General features: G+C 46.3%; 1 protein-coding gene across 15 annotated transcripts in view, besides 5 other annotated features; it reads right to left on the bottom strand.

Annotated features, from left to right (window-relative positions):
• Positions 1 to 21,120, bottom strand: part of TRAPPC12 (trafficking protein particle complex subunit 12) — a 99,872-nt gene that overhangs the window by 61,047 nt on the left and 17,705 nt on the right. For all 15 annotated transcript variants that reach the window (XR_426956.4, XR_007076381.1, XR_001738761.2 and 12 more), the window contains one exon: positions 16,626 to 16,742. Coding sequence is in view for 11 of the 15 variants with exons in the window: in NM_016030.6 (NP_057114.5) it covers positions 16,626 to 16,742 (117 nt within the window). In the remaining 4 variants the exon portion in view is untranslated. The remainder of the gene's footprint in view (positions 1 to 16,625; positions 16,743 to 21,120) is intronic.
• Positions 5,449 to 5,949: an enhancer, noted in NCBI's record as "H3K4me1 hESC enhancer chr2:3416341-3416841 (GRCh37/hg19 assembly coordinates)". NCBI's record gives its function as "activates a minimal SCP1, AML or CMV promoter by ChIP-STARR-seq in primed H9 embryonic stem cells {active_cell/tissue: H9 hESC(primed)}" and the evidence as "EXISTENCE:reporter gene assay evidence [ECO:0000049][PMID:30033119]".
• Positions 5,950 to 6,450: an enhancer, noted in NCBI's record as "H3K4me1 hESC enhancer chr2:3415840-3416340 (GRCh37/hg19 assembly coordinates)". NCBI's record gives its function as "activates a minimal SCP1, AML or CMV promoter by ChIP-STARR-seq in primed H9 embryonic stem cells {active_cell/tissue: H9 hESC(primed)}" and the evidence as "EXISTENCE:reporter gene assay evidence [ECO:0000049][PMID:30033119]".
• Positions 16,698 to 17,621: an enhancer, noted in NCBI's record as "H3K4me1 hESC enhancer chr2:3404669-3405592 (GRCh37/hg19 assembly coordinates)". NCBI's record gives its function as "activates a minimal SCP1, AML or CMV promoter by ChIP-STARR-seq in naive H9 embryonic stem cells {active_cell/tissue: H9 hESC(naive)}" and the evidence as "EXISTENCE:reporter gene assay evidence [ECO:0000049][PMID:30033119]".
• Positions 17,622 to 18,547: an enhancer, noted in NCBI's record as "H3K27ac-H3K4me1 hESC enhancer chr2:3403743-3404668 (GRCh37/hg19 assembly coordinates)". NCBI's record gives its function as "activates a minimal SCP1, AML or CMV promoter by ChIP-STARR-seq in naive H9 embryonic stem cells {active_cell/tissue: H9 hESC(naive)}" and the evidence as "EXISTENCE:reporter gene assay evidence [ECO:0000049][PMID:30033119]".
• Positions 18,548 to 19,473: an enhancer, noted in NCBI's record as "H3K27ac-H3K4me1 hESC enhancer chr2:3402817-3403742 (GRCh37/hg19 assembly coordinates)". NCBI's record gives its function as "activates a minimal SCP1, AML or CMV promoter by ChIP-STARR-seq in naive H9 embryonic stem cells {active_cell/tissue: H9 hESC(naive)}" and the evidence as "EXISTENCE:reporter gene assay evidence [ECO:0000049][PMID:30033119]".

Raw genomic sequence — 21,120 nt, 5'->3', positions numbered from 1 at the left:
ATGGTCTTTTACAGAAAACGCTGGCGGATCCCAGGTCTAGGCCCCTCGTGGCTCAGTAGTTCATTTCTGTTGACTTCAAGGAGGACTGTGGGCTGACTTCAGCCCGCGAGTGGCTTGCGTCTGATACCTGAGGACGAGGCACAGGAATGGAGATGCTCCTGTAGTCACGTGACAGAGAACTTTATGTGTATGGCATGCAGTGATAACAAAGCAGGGGCCTGCATTTGGCATGTTTTCCATTTTATTCTTTCATGACTGATTATTGTGAATTAGTTATTATTTATATTGATGGTGCAGAGTGGCAGAAGCAGGCGAGTATTTGTAGAGATATGGTTTTCCCATGTTGCCCAGGCTTGTCTTGAACTTCTGGGCTGAAGTGATCTACTCACCTCAGCCTCCCAGAGTGCTGGGATTATGGGATTACAGGCATTAGCCACTGTGCCTGCCACTATGACAATGTTTTTTTTTTTTTTTTTTTTTGAGACAGAGTCTCTATTGCCCAGGCTGGAGTGCGGTGGCACGATCTCGACTCGCTGCAATCTCCGCCTCCTGGGTTCAAGTGATTCTCTTGCCTCAACCTCCTGAGTAGCTGGGACTACAGGCGCCCGCCACCACGCCCGGCTAAAGTTTGTATTTTTAGTAGAGATGGGGTTTCGCCATGTTGGCCAGGCTGGTCTCGAGCTCCTGACCTCCGGTGATCTGCCTGCCTCGGCCTCCCAAAGTGCTGAGATTACAGGCGTGAGCCATCACGCCCGGCCAATGACCATTTTTAAAAATGAGAAACTTAAGGTTTTAATTCTCGTGGAAAGAAGAACAAAGAAGTTCGATGAGTAAATGTTGGCGGAATCTGCATTTCCTCATTCATTCACTCAGTGGCCATTTACTGACTGCCTGCTGTGAACCAGGCACTGTGCTAGGCTCGGGGGGACACAAGGCCGACGAAGAGGGCCAGGTCCCAGAAGCCAGGGCAAGTTTCCAACATCAGGTCACAATGGTGAGATTTCAGTTCCAGGCAAGAGGGGCAACTGGGTGCTTCTAAACAGAGAAATGTATTTTGAAATAAAATGTTTGGAAAACGAATCCAGCTGCAGCGTACAGACCGACTAGGGCAGTCTAAAGACTGCACGTGGTCAGACGCTGCATCACCTGGCCCGGCAGGAGGAGAGCAGCAGGCAGCGGGGGCGGTGGGGGGAGCCGTGGCTGCTCCCTAGAGGGTGAGAGAGACCCAGAAACAAACTAACCAATAAAACACTAACGTGGAAATCTGAGGGACAGCGCGAACCTGTCTCTACCCACCCAGGGCAGGCCGGACATGGAGACGCAGCAGGCAGATGAGCTGGGTTTTACAAAATGACAGAAGATATAAAAAATGACAAGATGGTGGAACAGTCACGTGAAAAGTGCCTGGTAAACCTGCAGATGGCAGGTTGTAGCTGAGGAGAGAAGACACTGGAGATGCAGGTTTGGGAGAAGCATGTGCCAGGGAGAGGTGACCCAGAGAGGGAGAGGAAGGCCTTCCTGAGAGGAGCGGGAGCAGGTACCACAGAGCATCTGCCCTGCAGCCCAGGAAGGCTGCCCAGCAGGGCACAGTGAAGGGGCAGGGGGAGGGCACAGTGAAGGGGCAGGGGGAGGGCACAGTGAAGGGGCAGGGGGAGGGCACAGTGAAGGGGCAGGGGGAGGGCAGTGAAGGGGCAGGGGGAGGGCACAGTGAAGGGGCAGGGGGAGGGCACAGTGAAGGGGCAGGGGGAGGGCAGTGATGGGGCAGGGGGAGGGCACAGTGAAGGGGCAGGGGGAGGGCACAGTGAAGGGGCAGGGGGAGCGCAGTGATGGGGCAGGGGGAGGGCACAGTGAAGGGGCAGGGGGAGGGCACAGTGAAGGGGCAGGGGAGGGCACAGTGAAGGGGCAGGGGGAGGGCATAGTGAAGGGGCAGGGGAGGGCACAGTGAAGGGGCAGGGGGAGGGCACAGTGAAGAGGCAGGGGGAGGGCAGTGAAGGGGCAGGGGGAGGGCACAGTGAAGGGGTAGGGGGAGGGCACAGTGAAGGGGTAGGGGTGTGCCTAGGAAGTGGCCTGGGGGCCCTGCAGTGCTTCTGCTCTCAGCTTCCAAGGACAGAACTGCCCCTGCGGACACACAGGAAAGCTCACAGAATGCCCCTGATGTTTCGGGGAAGGAATAAAGAAACCTACCTGTGGAAGTCACGGTGCGAATGCCTGTGAGGCGAAGCTGTTACAAGACAGCCCTTAAGGCAGGCTGGGCTGGTGGGGCAGGCTTAGCTCTCTGTTCATACTGATATTAACAGAAGCACCCAGTCACTCCCTCACTTAAGAAGCATCTACTAAGCACCTAAGAGGAGGTATGTCCTAAGTCAGGCAACAGGAGTACAAAGATGAATTTGGCATGAGGGACAGTCATACAGAACAAATGGCTACCAGTGCATCAAGACAGACACAGATGCTCCATCCATACCCACAGTAAGTTAGAAATATCTTGAGATGAAAGTAAGTGGGCCAGGCGTGGTGGCTCACGCCTGTAATCCCAGCACTTTGGGAGGCTGAGGGGGGCGGATCATGAGGTCAGGAGATCGAGACCATCCTGGCTAACACGGTGAAACCCCGCCTCTACTAAAAATACAAAAAATTAGCCAGGCGTGGTGGTGGGCGCCTGCAGTCCCAGCTACTTGGGAGGCTGAGGCAGGAGAATGGTGTGAACCTGCAAGGTGGAGCTTGCAGTGAGCTGAGATCGCACCACTGTACTCCAGCCTGGGCAACAGAGCGAGACTCTGCCTCAAAAAAAAAAAAAAGAAAAGAAGTGAATGCAGGCCAGGCACGATGGCTCACTTCTGTAACCCCAGCACTGTGGGAGGCTGAGCTGGGTGGATCACCTGGGATCAGGAGTTGGAGAGCAGCCTGGCCAACATGGTGAAATTCCAGTTCCACCAAAAATACAAAACTTAGCCAGATGTGGTGGTGAGCACCTGTAATCCCAGCTACTTGGGAGGCTGAGGCAGGAGAATCACTTAAACCTGGGAGAGAGGTTGCAGTGAGCGGAGATCGCACCACTGCACTCCAGCCTGGGCCACAGAGCCAAACTCTGTCTCAAAAGAAAAGAAAAGAAAAGAAAAGAAGTGAATGCACCATCTAACCTACTGAATGTCACAGCATAGCCTAGCCTACCTTAAACATGCTCACAACACTTACATTAGCCTGCAGTTGGGAAAATCAGCCAACACAAGGCCTGCTTTATAAAGTGTTGGACATTTCACGTCATTTCTTGAATTCACCGCGAGTGAGAAACAGAATGGCACGTGGGTGCTCACAGCACAGTTCCCACCGAAAGGGGAGCGCTTTTGCACCATCATAAAGTTGAAAAATCTTAAGTCAAACCACGGAGGTTGGGGACTGTCTGTACATACACACATATGCATAAACACAAGCAGCAGACCCTCTATCTGCCGGGGACCGGTTCCAGGACTCCTGGGATACCAAATCCATGACTGCTCAAGTCCTTGGTTGGTCCTCCGTATCTGCAGGTTCCACACGCGTGGATTCAACCAACCACAGCTGAAAGGTTGCTGTGCATACCTCACTGTGTTTCCCAACTGCGGGTGGTGGAATCTGTGGATGCGGAACCTGTAGATATGAAGGGCCAACGTACGTGATGTCCATAAGAAATACATACATGCACACATACGTGTGTTTATGAAATACGGACACTCCAGTGTGGGAGACACCGAGACCGGTGGCACAGGGGTGGGGAGTCTCGCACGATGAACAAGAGGAATGCACGTCAACGACGGGGAATGGTGTCCCTCGCGGGGCAGAGGCACAAGCGGCACGGCATGGACACGCTTGACAGCTCTGTGAGGACACTGCTGGCACACAGCTCTGTGAGGCACTGATGCCTGAGGATTCAGGAAACGGGCCGACACACGGCAGAGCACGTTCAAGGCACTGCACAGCGGGGACAGCTGGGGGATGGGGTCAGGGGGATGGTGGGGGTGAGGCTGAGCTGGAGCTGGAGCTAGAGGCTGGACCCCAGAGTGGCAGACCCCAGGGTGGCGGCAGGGGGGAGGACAAGAACCCGGGGGGCTTTGAAGGGAGAGAATGAATTCTAAGGACTAAATCCAGAGTGGAGTGACTGCTGCCAGGACCCCACTGCCATGCTTATCTGGATCACACGACGAAGTGAGATTTCTTCTGAGATCACACGTGCCTGGTTTGAGTGACTGGTTACGATGGGTACTGGCTGCCAAGTGGGTCACATTTCCCAAACTGAATGAGCTGAATCTGCAGTCCTACTGCTGATGGAAATATAATTAAATCACATATGCAACATACTATGTGCTAAAAATTAATTATATCCTTTGAAACCATTTAAATTTATGATAAAACATTTTAGATAGCTTAAAAATGTGTGAGGGGTACCTAGTTTTCTAATTCTTTGGGGGGTATTACGTGAATAAAAAGGATACTGAGCTGGCTTAGTGAACAAGGCACAAGGAAACAAGGCCTGAACTAGCACAGGAGGGGAGGGGCAGGGTGGAGGAGACAAACACTCATATGAATTATTTAGGAGGTAAAAGTCCTGGATTCTGGCCAGGGCAAATGGGTACTATCGTAAGCTAACTGAGAGGATACAGCAGAAACAGCAGGCTAAGGTGGCGGGTGCTGGTGAGATGATTACGCATACTGACACCTTTTAAACACTTACAGTACTGTCAGGCAGGTTAGCTGCTTCAACAGAGTTAGCTAACACCCCCATCTACCACCTCATCCCTGTGCACACTGTGGAATAGTACAAACAGTAAGTATGAAGTGAAAAAAGAAAGTCAACTGTGGACAATGGCACAGTATTCTCAGATGCATCCTTGTCGTCTTTTTTTAAAAAAACATACAGTGTCTTGTATCATTTACTCAAAACTTTCTTATATCCTCAAATATGTTCTTGGGACATGATTTATAATGGCTGCATGATATTCAATCACACTCACGTACACATTATTTGTTAATTTGATATTGAACGTGTGTCACCTTTTCAGAAACTATAAAACTGTTCACTAACCGAACACCACTCAACAAGAGCTGCTGGTGCTACGGAACTGGCCGAATGACACTCTATTCATGTTTTATCTAAAAGCTCTTCATCAAGGTTCTCTGGGATGACAATGAGTAATGAAGATAATGAGATAATCCTTTGCCACTACTATGACTAGCTGTCCCAGGATAAAAGAAACCAAGACCATATTTCCTTGAGTCCAAGGAGTCAACTTTTTTGACTATCACAAATGGAAGCAGTACAAAAAGCAACAGAAAAACCAGAGTCCTAAAGAAAGAGGGTATGCAGTGGTTAGACAAAGGAAACTGCCAGTTTTTATGAACAAAAGTTATAAACAGTTAAGAAGAGAAACTGTAAATAATAGTTTTTAAGTTCTACCAGTAACCCGGAGTTGTCCTTCTGCACTAAAAGTATTCAACTGTTTTCTTCTGGAAGGGTCTTTGGGAGCAAAGACCACCATTTATTTTGTATAATAAATGAACAAGATATCTGTACATGGCATATTTTCCTTACTTTTGTGGTAATACAACTCCTATTTATGTCCACTCACGGCTAAGTTGGGCCTTTTCAGGTTGTACTTATCAACTTATGTGCCTAGCTCTGTGTGAAAGGTATTCCTAATTTCATTGAAGTTGTGAGTGTGCTGACCAGGTCTAAAACAACAGAACAGGTCACAGGAAACACAATCATATCAATGATTCGGAACAGATGATGGCCCAGTCTTCAGCTGGCCACCCTGGAGTTGGAGATGACATGAATCCGTTCTAGATGAAGGTGTAGCTGGCCGCTCTGTGTCGCCGAGCCCTCACACGCCCCTGCTCCAGTCAGAGCTCACCTGCACTTGCTCATTGCAAGATGAGCACCCTCAAACCAACCTCAAACCTGATCTTTTTGTTTGTTTTTTGAGACGGAGTTTTGCTGTTGTCACCCAGGCTGGAGTGCGGTGGCGCGATCTTGGCTCACTGCAACCTCAGCCACCTGGGTTCAAGCAATTCGCCCGCCTCAGCCTCCTGAGTACTGGGATTACAGGCGCCCACCACCACACCCGGCTAATTTTTGTATTTTTAGTGGATATGGGGTTTCACCATGTTGGCCAGGCTGGTCTTAAAACTCCTGACCTCAGGTGATCCACCTGCCTCGGCCTCCCAAAGTGCTGGGATTAAAGGTGTGAGCCACCATGTCCAGCCTCAAACCTGATCTTAATGGTGCCTTTCCTGCTCATGGTGAAACCTTCCTATTCTTAATTCCTATTTCTCCTTTAGCTCCTTGGGGCAGTGGCCGCATCTAATGCATTGCTTTTTAATTTCTAAAAGCATTTCTTTAGTGTGGCACTTGGCATGCAAAAAAATTGTGGAACAGACAGTAAATTCATAGCACTACAAGAAGACAGTACAAGAATAAACTAATGCTTAATTAACCACACTAGTAATCAAAGAAATGCAAATTATAATTTACTAGTGAGTTGATCTTCACTAGCAAAACAAATAAAAAGCAAATGTCATTGTTAGCCTAAAAAAATTAGAATTTTTTTAAAAAAAGATACAAGTCAGGATAGGCAAGGAGATGCTACAGCCAGTGCACTCAGGTGCTGTGGAAAACATAACCTGGAATGACCTTCTGAACGACAATGGGGAGTATTTATGAACAGCCTTTGACTTCAGAATTCTCCTCCTAAGACTTATCCTAAAGAAACAATCACATATGTAGAATTCTGTATAAGACAGTTCATCTTAAGATTATTTACAATAACTTCAGATTATGTGGCTATTAAAATGTTTTTAAAGACCCTTTTATATGGGGAAATGCTAAATATATAATACATAATAAAAAGACACAAATTGATAGAAGCATATGAATTTTGTGCCTAAGCATATATACACAAACATGTATCTCCATCTTCATACATGCACACTATGTATAGTATAGATATGCACACACATACGTATAACACATACACTAAAATGTAAAAGGACAGTGGTTATATAAGCAATCTTTTTTTCAGTTTTTCTTTTCTCTTTTAGATACAGGAACTTGCTATTTGTGAAGGGAGGAAAAAAGAGTTTTGTGAATGAAAAAATAATGATGGATCAGCACTCATGCAGACAGCGCTTTGATGTCCTGGCCTGTCAGAAATCAACCGTGTGCATGTCACTTCTCTCCACACAGTGACGCCCTCAGTCTCTGTACCTAGAACAGTGCTTGACATGCAGGAACCAAATTCAGGCTGGTTGAAATAATACAGCATTTTCACAACAAGTATGGAAGGTGTAAGTTACTACTAAGTATAGCAGCTAAAGCATAAGCAAAGTTTTGGGTTTTTCTGAAAAACAAAAGGATTTTGATACAGTAGATATGGAATCTCCTGATGTTCAATTCTGTGATGCCACACAAAGCCCAGTGAACTCAATTTGTTTTTTATTTCATTTTATTTGTTTTTGAGATGGAGTCTCGCTCTGTGGCCAGGCTGAAGTGCAGTGGCGTGATCTTGGCTCACTGCAACCTCCGCCTCCTGGGTTCAAGCCATTCTCCTGCCTCAGCCTCCCGAGTAGCTGGGACTACAGGCGTGCACCACCACGCCCAGCTAATTTTTGTATTTTTACTAGAGACGGGGTTTCACCATGTTGGCCTGGATGGTCTTGATCTCTTGACCTCGTGATCTGCCTGCCTCGTCCTCCCAAAGTGCTGGGATTACAGGCATGAGCCACCACGCCTGGCCCTCAATTTGTTATCTATTTGATGGACCTCAAAGGCAATTTGAATTTGTGTGGGCACAAAAACATATCAACGGGAAGATCTGATTATGGATACTTACGTATTTTTTAAACAAGTAAGACATATTTTACAGTAAAGGCTTCCATCTCATTTTATACCCACTATGTATAGATACTCGCCACCAATCAAACATTTACATGTGTAATAAAATTATTTGCAAGGGCTTTGCAAACATAAAGTACTCCATAAATGATTAAAAATAGTAAAACATATCATATAAAAAGCCTTCAGCTTTTGCCATGATTTCATATTCTAAGACTTATTTTCTATGTCTCACACTAGATCACAACTATTAAAAATAAAGCAAATGCCTACCATCTTAATTATTCATTTCTTTGGGAAATGTAAATCTTTTAAAAAGTGGCTTCTTTCCTGACTGAAAATAGAAAGCAGAAATGTTTATGCTCTTGTTACGGTTTCTCCCAATATAATTTTTCCACAGATGACTGAATATGAAAGATTTACTTGGATAATTGCTGCTATTGATTAAGTGTGCACTATTAGAGTGAGCAATTTACTGGTTAATATCGATTGGTCTATAAATGACATGCAGTCATATCTACACAAACTTACACCAACCCGAGAGCCAATTTTCTAGGAGTCAGAACAACCCAATTCCCTGAGACGATAACACAAAAGAGCACGTGGCAGAGAGAGTCTGGGCAGCCCTTTCCACCTGCATCTCCCAGGTGGAGGCGCAGAGGGCTCGGCGCTGGCAGACCTGCTGGGGGACACGGAGTGGGGAGCAAAGGGGCAAGGCCCAGACCCAGCCTCACACCTCAGCTGGGGAGAGCCCCCACTGCAATTCAGGGCAGACGTGACTGAGAGAGCCCCTTCATCTCTAATTTAGATGTGGTGTGAGAGTCAGATGCATCAGTAGAGGGAATAGAAACAGGATTTTTTCATTTCTTCCCCTTTTTTTTTTTTTTTTTTTTTTTTTTTTAAAGACAAAGTCTTGCTTTGTTGCCCAGTCTGGAGTGCAGTGGTGCGATCAGGGCTCACTGCAGCCTCCACGGCCTGGGCTCTGGCAATCCTCCCACCTCAGCTTCCCGAGTAGCTGGGACTACAGGTGCGTGCCACCACATCAGGCTAATTTTTAAATTATCTGTAGATAAAGGGGTCTCACTATATTGCTCGGGCTGATCTTGAACTCCTAGACTCAACTGATTCTCCTACCTCAGCCTCCCAAAAGTGTTGGGATTGCAGGCATGAGCCATTGTGCCCAGCCAGATGATTTTCTTTGTATAATCATTTAGAAAAACATTAAAGGAAAAAAAGAGAAGAAAACACATTATTTACCATTTACAATTTATACTTTCCCAAATGGTGATTTTTTCTGATAAGAGAATATAAAATATTTGTCTATAGTTCCAGTTTACTTTGTATTTCAAAAACATTTCTAGGCACAGGAATATTTTTGTTCACACCAAAGGAGATGAACTGAGACCATAACTGTCTCTCCTCGCTGAGGTCAGGCTTTGCTATCATATCCTTTGTCGGGGGCCTGGCAGGACATGATGGCTACTGCATGGTCACAGGAGTTTCTGAAGAGAGTCTTAACTTTTTGCAAAGTTGTGAGCAAGGGACAGTGACGTGCCCAGGGCATGGCACCAGAGGGGACTGGGCTGCAAGACAGCTGTGGCAGCCTCAGGAAGAGGATCACAGCCGCCAGGAGACTGCCCCTGGCCGGGCAGGGCTCAGGAGCCACGGTGCACATAGCTCTGTGCCGCAGCGGGCCGCGCAGGGCAGGAAAGGAGCGTGTGTGGGAACAGGTGCACGTGTGGGATATCCAGGGCGGCACAGAGTGAGCTTGGTCAGGTCGCACTGTGCTGCCCGATCAACTGCATATAACATAATTCTCTTCTTTTGGATATTGAATATTAAGATTTTTAATAGAATTTTTGGCTAAGTAACATAAGTAATACAGCAGCAAACATTCTTGAATGTCTTTTTACACACATGTACAAGTTTTTCTAAAGTATATAATTGAAAGTGGGATTGTTGAGTCAAAAGTTATACAAAGCATGTACTTTATTGTTATTATTATTTTTTTTTAAATTTTTTTTGAGACAAGGTTTTACTGTGTCACCCAGGCAGGAGTGCTGTGGCCCGATCATGGCTTACTGCAGCCTCAACCTTCCAAGGCTCAGGTGATCCTCCTGCCTCAGCCCCACAAGTAGCTGGGACTACAGGCGTGTGCTACCACACCCAGCTAATTTTTGTACTTTTAGTAGAGGCGGGGTTTTGCCATGTTGCCCAGGCTGGTCTTGAACTCCTGGGCTCAAACGATCCACCCACCTTGGCCTCCCAAAGTGCTGGGATTACAGGTGTGAGCCACCACGCCCAGCTTTATTAGCTATTGTTAAATTGCTCTGCAAGACAATTCACGTTCGAATCAACAATGTGTGCTGCCTACCCTTACTAACTGGTGCTGCCAGTGTGATAGGCTTGTCCGCTTCCCTCCTCTTTAGTGTTTCTCCTGGTACAAGCCTCCAACTGGAGGCACGGTAGACATTTCCTTGGCCACACATGTCAAGCACACGTGTTTGGAGGTTTATTTTTACCAGCCTCGGCAGAGCACAGCCTCAGCATTCTGATCTTCAGACTTGTCCAAGAGGTGATGTGGAACTAGCAGAGCCAGGGCTCTTGTTTAATGGACAAATGCTGGAGAGGGGACGACCGGCCAGGAGGAACCAGCACATCCTTCCAAGGTGGGATGTGACTGTGGCTACTGTGAGAGCCAGAGCCAGTTCTTATGATCGCATGCCGTCTGCTATTTGAAATTATAATTGCTTATTTTCTTAGTGTGTTTTTTGCTATTTTTATCTTATTATTTTCCACCTTATTCCCCTTCCTGGTGGCCCTCCTCCATTTTCTTTTTCTTTTTTTTCTTTTTTTGAAACGGAGTCTTGCTCTGTCGCCCAGGCTGGAGTGCAGTGGCGTGATCTTGGCTCACTGCAAGCTCTGCCTCCCAGACCATTCTCCTGCCTCAGCCTCCCGGGTAGCTGGGACTACAGGCACCCGCCACCACGCCCGGCTAATTTTTTGTATTTTTAGTAGAGATGGGGTTTCACCGTGTTAGCCAGGATGGTCTCGATCTCCTGACCTCGTGATCTGCCCGCCTCGGCCTCCCCCCTCCTCTATTTTCAATGATAGATGTCAGAAATATGAAGCAAAGAAACTATTTTTAAAATCAGAATCTAAAGTATACCACATAAAACTTTAAACTTTGTGAAAGAAATCTTATGAAAATCTCATAATTACTGTACATGACATGTAAAATTCTAATAATGAAGTTAGTCTGATATGAGATAAAGATTTTAGATAAAAACTACTTTTACGTTTTTTTGCTAGGAGTACGATACAGGGTCTATTTGAAAAACTGAACGTAGGCATTACACAATTTCCAAATGATGAGAAAAATAGTCTAATAAAAATCACTCAAGTAACTAATGGCATGTACATAACTTTTCTCCATCTAAGACTCAAAGGGAATTATTACCTCTACATATGATACCATTAAAGTGATTAACACGTCCTTCTCCCAGGCTGTGACATCCATTTCCCTGTAAATTACAATCTTAGGAAACTCTGACATAACTTAGGGAAATAATTCAAAAACCCTTTCCTGGCTGCCTTAAAGACAACACGAATTATTTTAGGACACACTAGAATTAAAATACCAGGGCAAGGTAAAGATCCTTTCATAAATACATTTTTCACCTTACGTAAGCTCCCTTGTTAGGCCTGTTAATAAAATTTCTGATGGTCTCAAGTATTTCCAACGTATGAAACACATCAAACCATTGTATATATTTATTAATAACAGGAACGATCAAAGAGGGTAAAAAATAGCCTGTAGAAAAAATTAATTATAATTAACATGCATGGCTTTGTGTGTGATTTTTAAACCCATTATTATAAAGCCCTGTCATGCTGCCAGTTCAGTTCCTGCCTCAAGAGGATACATCACAGCAGCTTCCCCATGGCCAAACCAAGGGGCCACGCCCACACCCTTGGGAACAGAGCATGGGCCAGGGAAATGGCCACCCTGGAGATCCGTAACTGCATTAGCAAATTATAAAGGATACAGATACTTACAAATTAGCTGTTTTTTCCCCTTTAAAAAAGAGTATCTCCATCTCTCTCCTCTCCAAAGCTTTCTAATCATAGAAATAATTACAGAATCACTTTGGTAAAAGAAACTCAAAGAAGCATTCGACTGACATTGACTCACATTTAAACTTGGTGTGATGTGTGAAGGTAAGCAAGGGATGCTTGTTTACCTTTTTGAGGACACGCTTCTGTAAATACGGTAAAGAACGTGGGGAAGAAAGGCAATTTGGGGAGCATAGTTTCCAGTGGTTCACAGGCTACCAGAGGATTCAGACAGCAAACACCTACACCTAAGATAATTTCCTGCTTCTATTTTAGGAGAGGGTCTCTGCCTGGGTTTTTGCGCTTACTCCGAGTTAATGAGTACAGACCTGTGTGTGTATGTTGCGTGACCATGTGAGTGACAGTTCCACAGCTTGGGGAGCGTGGTGCAGAGGAAGGAGGAGAGGGAAGCGTCTCTGGGGAAGGTTTGGCTTCTCTGAGTCTGGAAGGGTCCTTCAGTCTCTGCAAGTCAGGGAACAGCTGGGAACTTTGCTCTGGGGCAAGAGGCCTGAGGGATTCATGCTGGAGCTCTCGGGATTCCCGCCAGTTACAGAAGCAGGGTTGTGGGAACTGGTATTCAAGATGTAGTACAAGCAGCTTCCCTATGGGAAGTGGATTCAGGGCATGAGGAGAGAAAAGAGAAACTTCACTGCCATGGGTTAGGAGTGCAGCTGAATTTGTGTCTGTGTCTGAAGACACTGATGAAGAATCATAAGAGTTACAATAAATTTGTGAATCTGGAATATATACTTCTTTTAAAAATAGTGTATGAGCTTCAAGTCAGCAATAAGTAAATTAAAAATAATAGAATAGCACTTCTAAATCTGAGTAAATCCCATAAATGGTTAAGAAGGCAGAACTTCACGGAGCAAGAGCACTAGCTTAGCAACCTTTATTGTTATTGCTGGAAAGAGAAGAGGCTTAATATGTGTTTGCTCAATGAATACACTAAGAAACACAAGTGAGAACTTGTTTGTTTGAATCCCATCAGATATAAGGTCTTCTCATGGGAAATCCTACCCCTGGATACAATCCAGTCCTAGAAGCTGTATTGAAAAGCGTAATTCCCACGGTGTGTAGATCCGACGGTTCAGAAATACTAAGTCATTTGGTGGGAGGTAGTCAATGAGCAAAACCAACACCAGCAACTGTGCTTTTTGCTGGGCTGTGCGGACTGTGTAAGGGACATGGGGCAGTAGGGATGGTACTGGTAACAGGAGCAAGGACATTTGTTTGGGGCCAACCTCTACACCTTTGTAGATCTTAGTGTTCTAATCTACAAAGCGGGCATTTTGGACTATGTTAGTTTTTCAAATTTTTAAATAGTAAAATTCATCCTCCTTTCCCCCCACCCCCCCAAAAAAAGACATCTCAAGAGAGACTTCTACATAAAGTAGACCCTGCTGAAATGCTCTGCCTGACACTGGCCCTACCAAGTCACCTCCGCAGGCCATGCCCAGTCACCCCAAGGTCCCTCCCTGGAACCCGAGGGTTCTCAGAATCACAGTTTGAAAATGTGCTGGATTCGATTTTCATTCCTTTCAAATCCTTCCTTTCCTTTTCTGTCATTGCAGAGGAAGAAATGTTCCATCTTTCTCCAGACTAATCTTCTTGTGGTTTCATCTCCTCACTCTTTGCGCCCCCTCCCCCGTAACCGCCCCCCACTCTATCCTTTTGTATGAGCTCCTTCTCTATTTCTTTAAACCCAACATTCTGACGCTACTTCTTTATCAAAAGAGTAGCTTACCGACTGGGGGTTCTCTTATCTATTCATTCCCTCATCCCTTTATTTACTCAAGAAGACGCCGTGTACCCATTCTGTGCCTGACCGTGCTGGGTCCTCAGATGCACTGGTGAACAAGACACGCTTCCTGACTGTCACGGTGTTTATTACAGATTTTTAATTTTTGTAGGTTGGCTCTGTCTCCCCCAAGTTACAGCATTTGTTATTGACACTGATGACATGTCACCTCCCAGTTCATGCATATAATGAAGTCAGGATAAAATCCAAGTAACTAAGGCTGCTTTGCCAATGTTCGGTACTTTCTCAAAAACAGGCTTTTTGGGCAAAACTCCAAAAAAAGATTTTTTTGGGAAAAAGATCAGGGATCAAAGGAAGTTAAAAATCAAGATCGAGAAGAATATAAGAAACTGACTTTTGAGTAAAATGGGGAGGATTCTATATTTTTTCCTTTAGGCTCTCTTAGGAAGCAAGAGATCTGCTGACAATAGAACACTAGAAAGTAGAAAGTCAAAGAGAAGTTTAAAATCAGAAGAGAGGGACTAGAAAATCCAGGAACCCAGGGCACGATGTCCCTGCGCGACCTCACAGCAGAGTACAGCCCCCACCCATGCTTCGGAAAGGCCCTCACACAACCGCGATCTGGGTCATCACAGCCGGGAGCCAGGCCCCAGGCAAAGGGGTTCCAGGTGGCCCGGTCAGCGTAGCAGGCAGTCCCCAATCCATACTGAACCCAGGAAAGCTTCTAAAGTGTCACAGAAGTCACAAGACCACACATAATAAGGATTTGTCTGAATTCAAGAGAACTAGTCAATTAAGGAAAAAATTTTGTTACTTTGTTAAATGCTCCTGTTAAAGATCAAGAAATCACTCCTCTCCTGGCTCAGGATTTCAGCCTCACAAACATCAGTCATTTCTGGCAGAATGGGGACAGGCTATACCTCACTTTCAAATACAGAGGCAGAGGTGATGTAACAAAAAAGGAACTGGGATTATTTTCTTCTGAACTTCACTGTAGTCTTCTTGCAAGTAAGTGATTTACATATTACTGTTTTCACACAAAAGACAGTTGCCTCTGAGCTGGGACTGAGCCACGCGCTACTCCAAAATAAACTTTAAAACATTCTCATTTTCTGTTTTAGTTCACAGGCTAACCTTCACCTGTCATTTCAATGGGCTGCAAAGTTTAATCCTCCAGAAATTTCTAAACTTCTCAACTATTATATCTTTAGGAACTAAAGTTTGCTTAAAATAGGTGAAATCTGGTCGGGTGCGGTGGCTCACGCCTATAATCCCAGCACTCTGGGAGGGTGAGGCAGGCGGATCACCTGAGGTCAGGAGTTCAAGACCAGCCTGGCCATGGTGAAACCCTGTCTCTACTAAAAATACAAAAAATTAGCCGGGTGTGGTGGTGCACGCCTGTAATCCCAGCTACTCGGGAAGCTGAGGCAGGAGAATCACTTGAACCCGGGAGGTGGAGGTTGCAGTGAGCTGAGATCACGCCATTGCACTCCAGCCTGGGCAACAAGAGTGAAACTCCATCTCAAAAAAAAAAAAAAAAAAATTGGTGAAATCTGAAGCCCGGTGCAGAAGAATTAGTAACAATTGAGAAAAACAAGATGGGGAACTATTAGAAAAATAAGTAAATTAGGAAATTCCATTCTCTTTTTTGAAAGTTGAAAGGTGAATACATGTCCTCCAGATTGTTCACCCAAATGGAGAGTGTCTGGACCATGTGCCGCTGAAATACAGTCAGGATAAGGGCGCATTTCAACATGAGTTTCAGACAGCCGGTGGGACTTATTCCCAAAATCAAGGACCTCACTCTCCAAACCCCTTCAAGAAAGTGTGCCCACTAACTTGACTGCATGCAGGCATGGGAGCATGGCTTTGCTAAGTCCACTCTAGGCAACCGTGTGGATGAGCTAGCAGAGCAATTCCACAGCCCCCTAAGGAGACAACACTGGGGAGCTGAGATTCGGTGTGAGATGGGGCTCTCATTTCAGAGTACTTACCCCATGGCTACCATAGGATTCCTGAAGGAAACATACGCGACAAACTTCCAATATCTTCTCCTTAATCTAGAAAAGCTACCCAACGCAATTACAGCTGTCTTTAAGATTATAAATTCATTGGAAACAAATCAACCTGTACAGCAATGGTGATCCAGTACTAATGTTTTTTTATTTTTATTTTTTTGAGACGGAGTCTCGCTCTGTAGCCGAGGCTGGAGTGGCAGTGGTGTGATCTCGGCTCACTGCAACCTCCACCTCCCGGGTCCCAGTTCAAGCGATTCTCCTGCCTCAGCCTCCTGAGTATCTGGGATTACAGGAACGCACCACCATGCCCAGCTAATTTTTGTATTTTTAGTAGAGATGGGGTTCACCATGTTGGCCAGGCTGGTCTTGAACTCCTGACCTTGTGATCTGCCCGCCTTGGCCTCCCAAAGTGCTGGGATTACAGGTGTGAGCCACTGCGCCCAGCCATGAATTTTAAAAACCTACTTATAGAATTCATGACAAAGCTTAAAAATGTTCAGAAATTCACCCATTCAATAATAAACTTTCTACACAAAATGCAGAAAATGCAATATATTTAAAAAATGAACACAAATCATTTATCTCTATTATATATGATGAAGCAAACTCAATCAAAGTATGCACTGCTTTGAGTAATTTGATCATTTCCAATAATGGCTTTTTAACTAATTAGGCTTAAAAGTATCCATGTATTAATATGATGCTTTTTGGTGCACAGGACTGGCATCTACTCCAACAAAATTCTACTTATGTGCAAGAGCTTTGAATAATATTCAAAATAATTGACTTCTAGAGAAAATATTATGAAGGCAGGCAGGACTTATCACAAAACAACACTGAAATCAAACACATTGTCACTTACGATTAGCTGTTTCAATCCAACAAAAGATTGTTCCACTGAGTCGGCATTTAGGACTTGTCTCTTTGCTGCAGCTTTTTCACCCAGAAAGCGAAGCATCAAGTCTTTAACTGCATCTCCCTGGGAAGAATAGAAGAAAAATATGTCAAGACAATAAAATGTCAACTAAACTCAGCTAACCAGAACCCATAACTAAACACAATTTCTTTTTTCTCCACTGGCTTGTGGAGGTAAAAGTAACGGTTATAGTATCGTAAAACTTCAATTAACCAGAAGCTAAATTAGCACAATCGTTAATAAAATGCATAATTTTAGAATTGCTCTTTATTCTTTTTATTTTAAAAATTATATCTTTATTCACCACTGATCAGAAAGCATGTTCTTTATTCTGAAGAGGAAACGGTAAGTCCTACCGCCTACTACCAGGCTTGTAGTGAGAGGCAAAGCCAAGCCAGCAGAGAGGCCTCAGGTGAGGGGCCTAGGGAGGCCCAGGAGCATGAAGGTGACACTGCTGGGGACCAGGGGCTGCACCCACAGTGGCCAGCCTCGCGCTGGTGCAGGCAGGCCTGAATAGTCTTCCCAAATCTCATCAATGCCTCCATGCTTGCCTGGACCTCCAGGAAAGCCTGGAGGGCTAGGGCTAAAGAAGTTAAATTACCAATGGCCCTCTCTTCAGTGCTGAGGTCACCAGCCAAGCCAAAGGAAAACTGAGACCCCCTTTCACAGCAGGTCCTCGGTAGCCTCGCTGAGCCAGGCCTTGCTCCAGGAGCTGCTGGGCGCACTTCATGCTGCAAGCCAGGGAAGAATCCAGTTGCCTCTGCACGGGACCGTTTCTACTCCTGACCTGACTCCTCTGATTAGAACGATCTTTAGACGGTGCTGAAGAACACTGGACGTGGAATCTGAAGCATGCCACTTGCTTTAAAGGGAAGACACAGAAGGGCAAGGGGAGGGAGAACAGGTGCTTTTGTGTGGCCTGGGGACAGAAGAGATGTGCCAATGACCTGCCCTGAGCAGGGAGCAATCTCACAGCTAGTGTCAAGCCCAGATGCTGGGCGAGCCAGCCTTCATGACCCTCGGGAGTCGGCACAGTTCAGGGGCCCCAGGGAAGGGCCTGAAGTTACCAAGTCTGTTGTATGGGGACAAACTAGTCATCCCAACAGTGCAGAGAAAACTGTCACAGTCCACAGGCCTCAGTGCTGTTTCGGTGGCTGCACCGCAGGCCGAGGGAGAGTCCAGGGTAAGTAAAGGCTGCTCACAGGACACGATGCTCTCCACGGGCGGCAGGAGACGCCTCTCACACACAGCTGGGACCAGGACACAGCCCTGGACCATCTCTCTCCTTTCTGGGGGTGCTGCTGACTGAGGAAAGGCACCTGGGAAGGGGCAGCAGCACTGAGGTCCCTGAAACACCTGAGGCAGGGGCAGCTGGGGGGATAGAGCAGCCCAGGGGGAAAGGGAAGCAGCGCTGAGGTCCCTGAAACGCCAGAGACAGTGAGTATCCTGGGAGGAGGAAGCAGTGGCTCTGAGGTCCCTGAAACGCCAGAGACAGTGAGTATCCTGGGAGGAGGAAGCAGTGGCTCTGAGGTCCCTGAAACGCCAGAGACAGTGAGCATCCTGGGAGGAGGAAGCAGTGGCTCTGAGGTCCCTGAAATGCCAGAGACAGTGAGCATCCTGGGAGGAGGAAGCAGTGGCTCTGAGGTCCCTGAAATGCCTGGAGACAGCAAGCAGCCGGAGCTGGCTGGATCTTCCCTGACACGTGCTCTGGGCGTCTGGCCCGCAGCAGCTGCTGACAGGGACACAGCACAAAGTCCCTGCAGTCTCTCGGGTGAGCAGAAGAAAGACTCAAACTAGGACAACCCCAAGATGGGGGGTGGAGAAAGCCAAGATCTCTCCATCTCAGCACAAAGCTGCCTCCCAGCCACAGAGAAGCTGATGCTCATGCTGCAGGCGGGCCACTGGGAGCACGCAGTGACTGAGGGTGCAGAGAAGCCTGCGTGCCCCCTGCCTGGACTTCACCGCTGGCTCAGATCTCTTCCTATTGTTCTCCTACCCTTTTTTTTTTGGCGGCGGGGCGGTGGCGGGGGGAGCGGGGGAAAGAAAAGCATAGAAGTTGTTTCTCCTAAGAAGCAAGGTTATTTCAATCTTTTGCTATCTTTCAAAATAGTGACACTTAAAAGAAGAACAGAATCTAGACCATGAGAGCAAGAGAATCAGAAAAGCTGCTGACATTGCTTCTCTGCTCTGCTGCCTCCCTTCTACCAGGAGAGATCAACAGCCTGCGGCAGAAGGGGCTGGGTGGCTCCAGGTCATAGGTCTGTCTCTTCCCTGGGTGCTAAACCTGGTGCTCGCAGAGGCCAGCCTCACGTTTTCTCACATTGAGGAAAAGACCTAGGGGCAGCAGTTGTATAATTTCTGCTTTCAGAGCATAAGGTGAAGTACTTCAAATACCAGATCCACAAAATCAGCTAACTGATCTAGCAGCAATAATTAAAAGGCAAAATAAAAGAGTTCAGACACAGGGCCCCATAAAGCTCTGCAAAAATGCAACTCGTCTCAGACAAAGAGCATCTCAGCCAGGGGGGCAGCGAGCTGGGTAAAGAGCAAAATCAAATTGTAATGCCAGGGACGGAGGGCCAATTCAACTCCTCCATCCCCACAACATTATCAATGAGACCATGCTGTGAAAATCTCTTGTCCTTAAAATTCTCTGTTAGTTAATATTTTAGCTACCACAGCAAGTTCCTGAGATACTAGCATATGCATGACTATCAAATATCCCACCAACAGAGGGCCAAGGATGTGACAAGCGTCTTAGGACAAACCTCGCCCTTGCTGTGTGGCTAACTGAAGGTGGTGACAGCGCAGGGAGGTGGAGACGCTTGTACTGCATCTCCTCTAGCCGTTACTGTGCAGGGGAGGTGGGAGGGGGAGGGAACTTCCCCCAGGGCTTTCTAGAGAGCTGTGCTACTACACCTGGGATGGAATCCAGCTAGAACCAATGATTCCTTCAGACCAGCAAGCCATTCAGTGAGGGTCTACTTTATCCAGGGCAAGGTTCAGGGAACACGAAGGAAACACATGAATATATCACAATCTGGGACTCATCGTGATGTCGCCACCCCATTCTCCTGGTCAGGTGCATTTATGGAGGAGCAAGTGGCTGTTCTCACGGCTGACAGGCGGTTAGGGCCTGGCTGCCTTTCCTGCAATGGGGGAATAGTCTCAGTAGTCCCTTCTTGATTTTGATGGTGAAAGACAAAACAGAAGCCAGAGCAGTGGACTGAAAGCGTATGGGCCTTACTGTCTGGGAAGCCCAAAGACACAAATGCTCACGGGGTAGCGCTGCTGAAAGGCAGCAGCCCCTGCACCTGGCACAGAACACGCTGAGCTTTCTGCCACATCGCCAATGCAGAAAGGTGCCTGTTTATCCTGGCAGGGTCTATCCTCTGATCCAGTGTTTGCTTACTCCAGGGAAAAATGAGACCACCTGAACAAAAAAACCACAACAATTAAAACCCAAACCCAAACTCAAGGATGTGGAGCAACTGGAACCCTCACACACCACATCATTGGTGGGGAGTCAACATGGAATAGCCATTTTAGAAAACTGTCTGGCGGGGCCTCAAAATGTTGAACAGAGTTACCACAGAATCCAGCAAGTCCACACCTAGCTATACATCCCAGATCACTGAGAACACATAGACACAAACGCCTGTGTGTGAATGTTCACAGTAGCATTACTCACAACAGCCAAAAGGTAGAAACAGCCCAAATGTCCACCAACTGATGAATGAATAAAAAGCAGCAGTAATTTGCTTCTGTCCATTTCAGGGTAACTGGGACTGGACTGTCTTGATGTGAACAACTGCAACATTGCTCAGAAGAAATCTAACAACTGTCTTCAGACACAGCAAAGGACTGTGACCCAACAGAAGGAAAACATGAGTTGAACTCTTGAACCCAATGGCACTTTTTGGACCACATTGCAGGAGGAGAATCCCAAGCAGGGTTTGGGACATCAAGGAGGTTAAGGCGGGTGGGCTGATGAGCTTGAGACTGTACTCAAATATGCTTTCCCAACATTCTTATTTTGCTAAATTATTAACAACAATGGGAGACAGAGAAAGTGTGAGAGTGTATGTGTCAGAAAGAATATACATTATCTCTATATAATAAGTTCCACCTACATAATCCTTTGTGGTTTATTCTAAAAACCCAGCTACAATTTATAACATAATTTACTAGAAAATGGTTTTGGAACATACTTACAAACTGGATAATTCTTATATCCAGAGATCTAGAAAGGAGGGAGCTAAGCAGAGAAAGGGTTTGTGTGGGAGCCCTTGAGTTTACTGCTGACACTCAGCTGTATGTGCAGAGAGTGCAGCTCTGAAGGCAGGAAAGGATGAGGTGCTGTGAGCTGACAAGCCCAGAGCTCACACAGGGCTGTGGGGTGTTGAGTGTGGGTCTGCCATGGACAGAGTCCTGTGAGCTG

The sequence above is a fragment of the Homo sapiens genome, chromosome 2 (assembly GCF_000001405.40).
Source record: "Homo sapiens chromosome 2, GRCh38.p14 Primary Assembly".
NCBI classification, from domain to species: Eukaryota; Metazoa; Chordata; class Mammalia; order Primates; family Hominidae; genus Homo; species Homo sapiens.
Note: the sequence above shows the minus strand (reverse complement) of the source record. Positions and strands in the feature narration are given on the sequence as shown.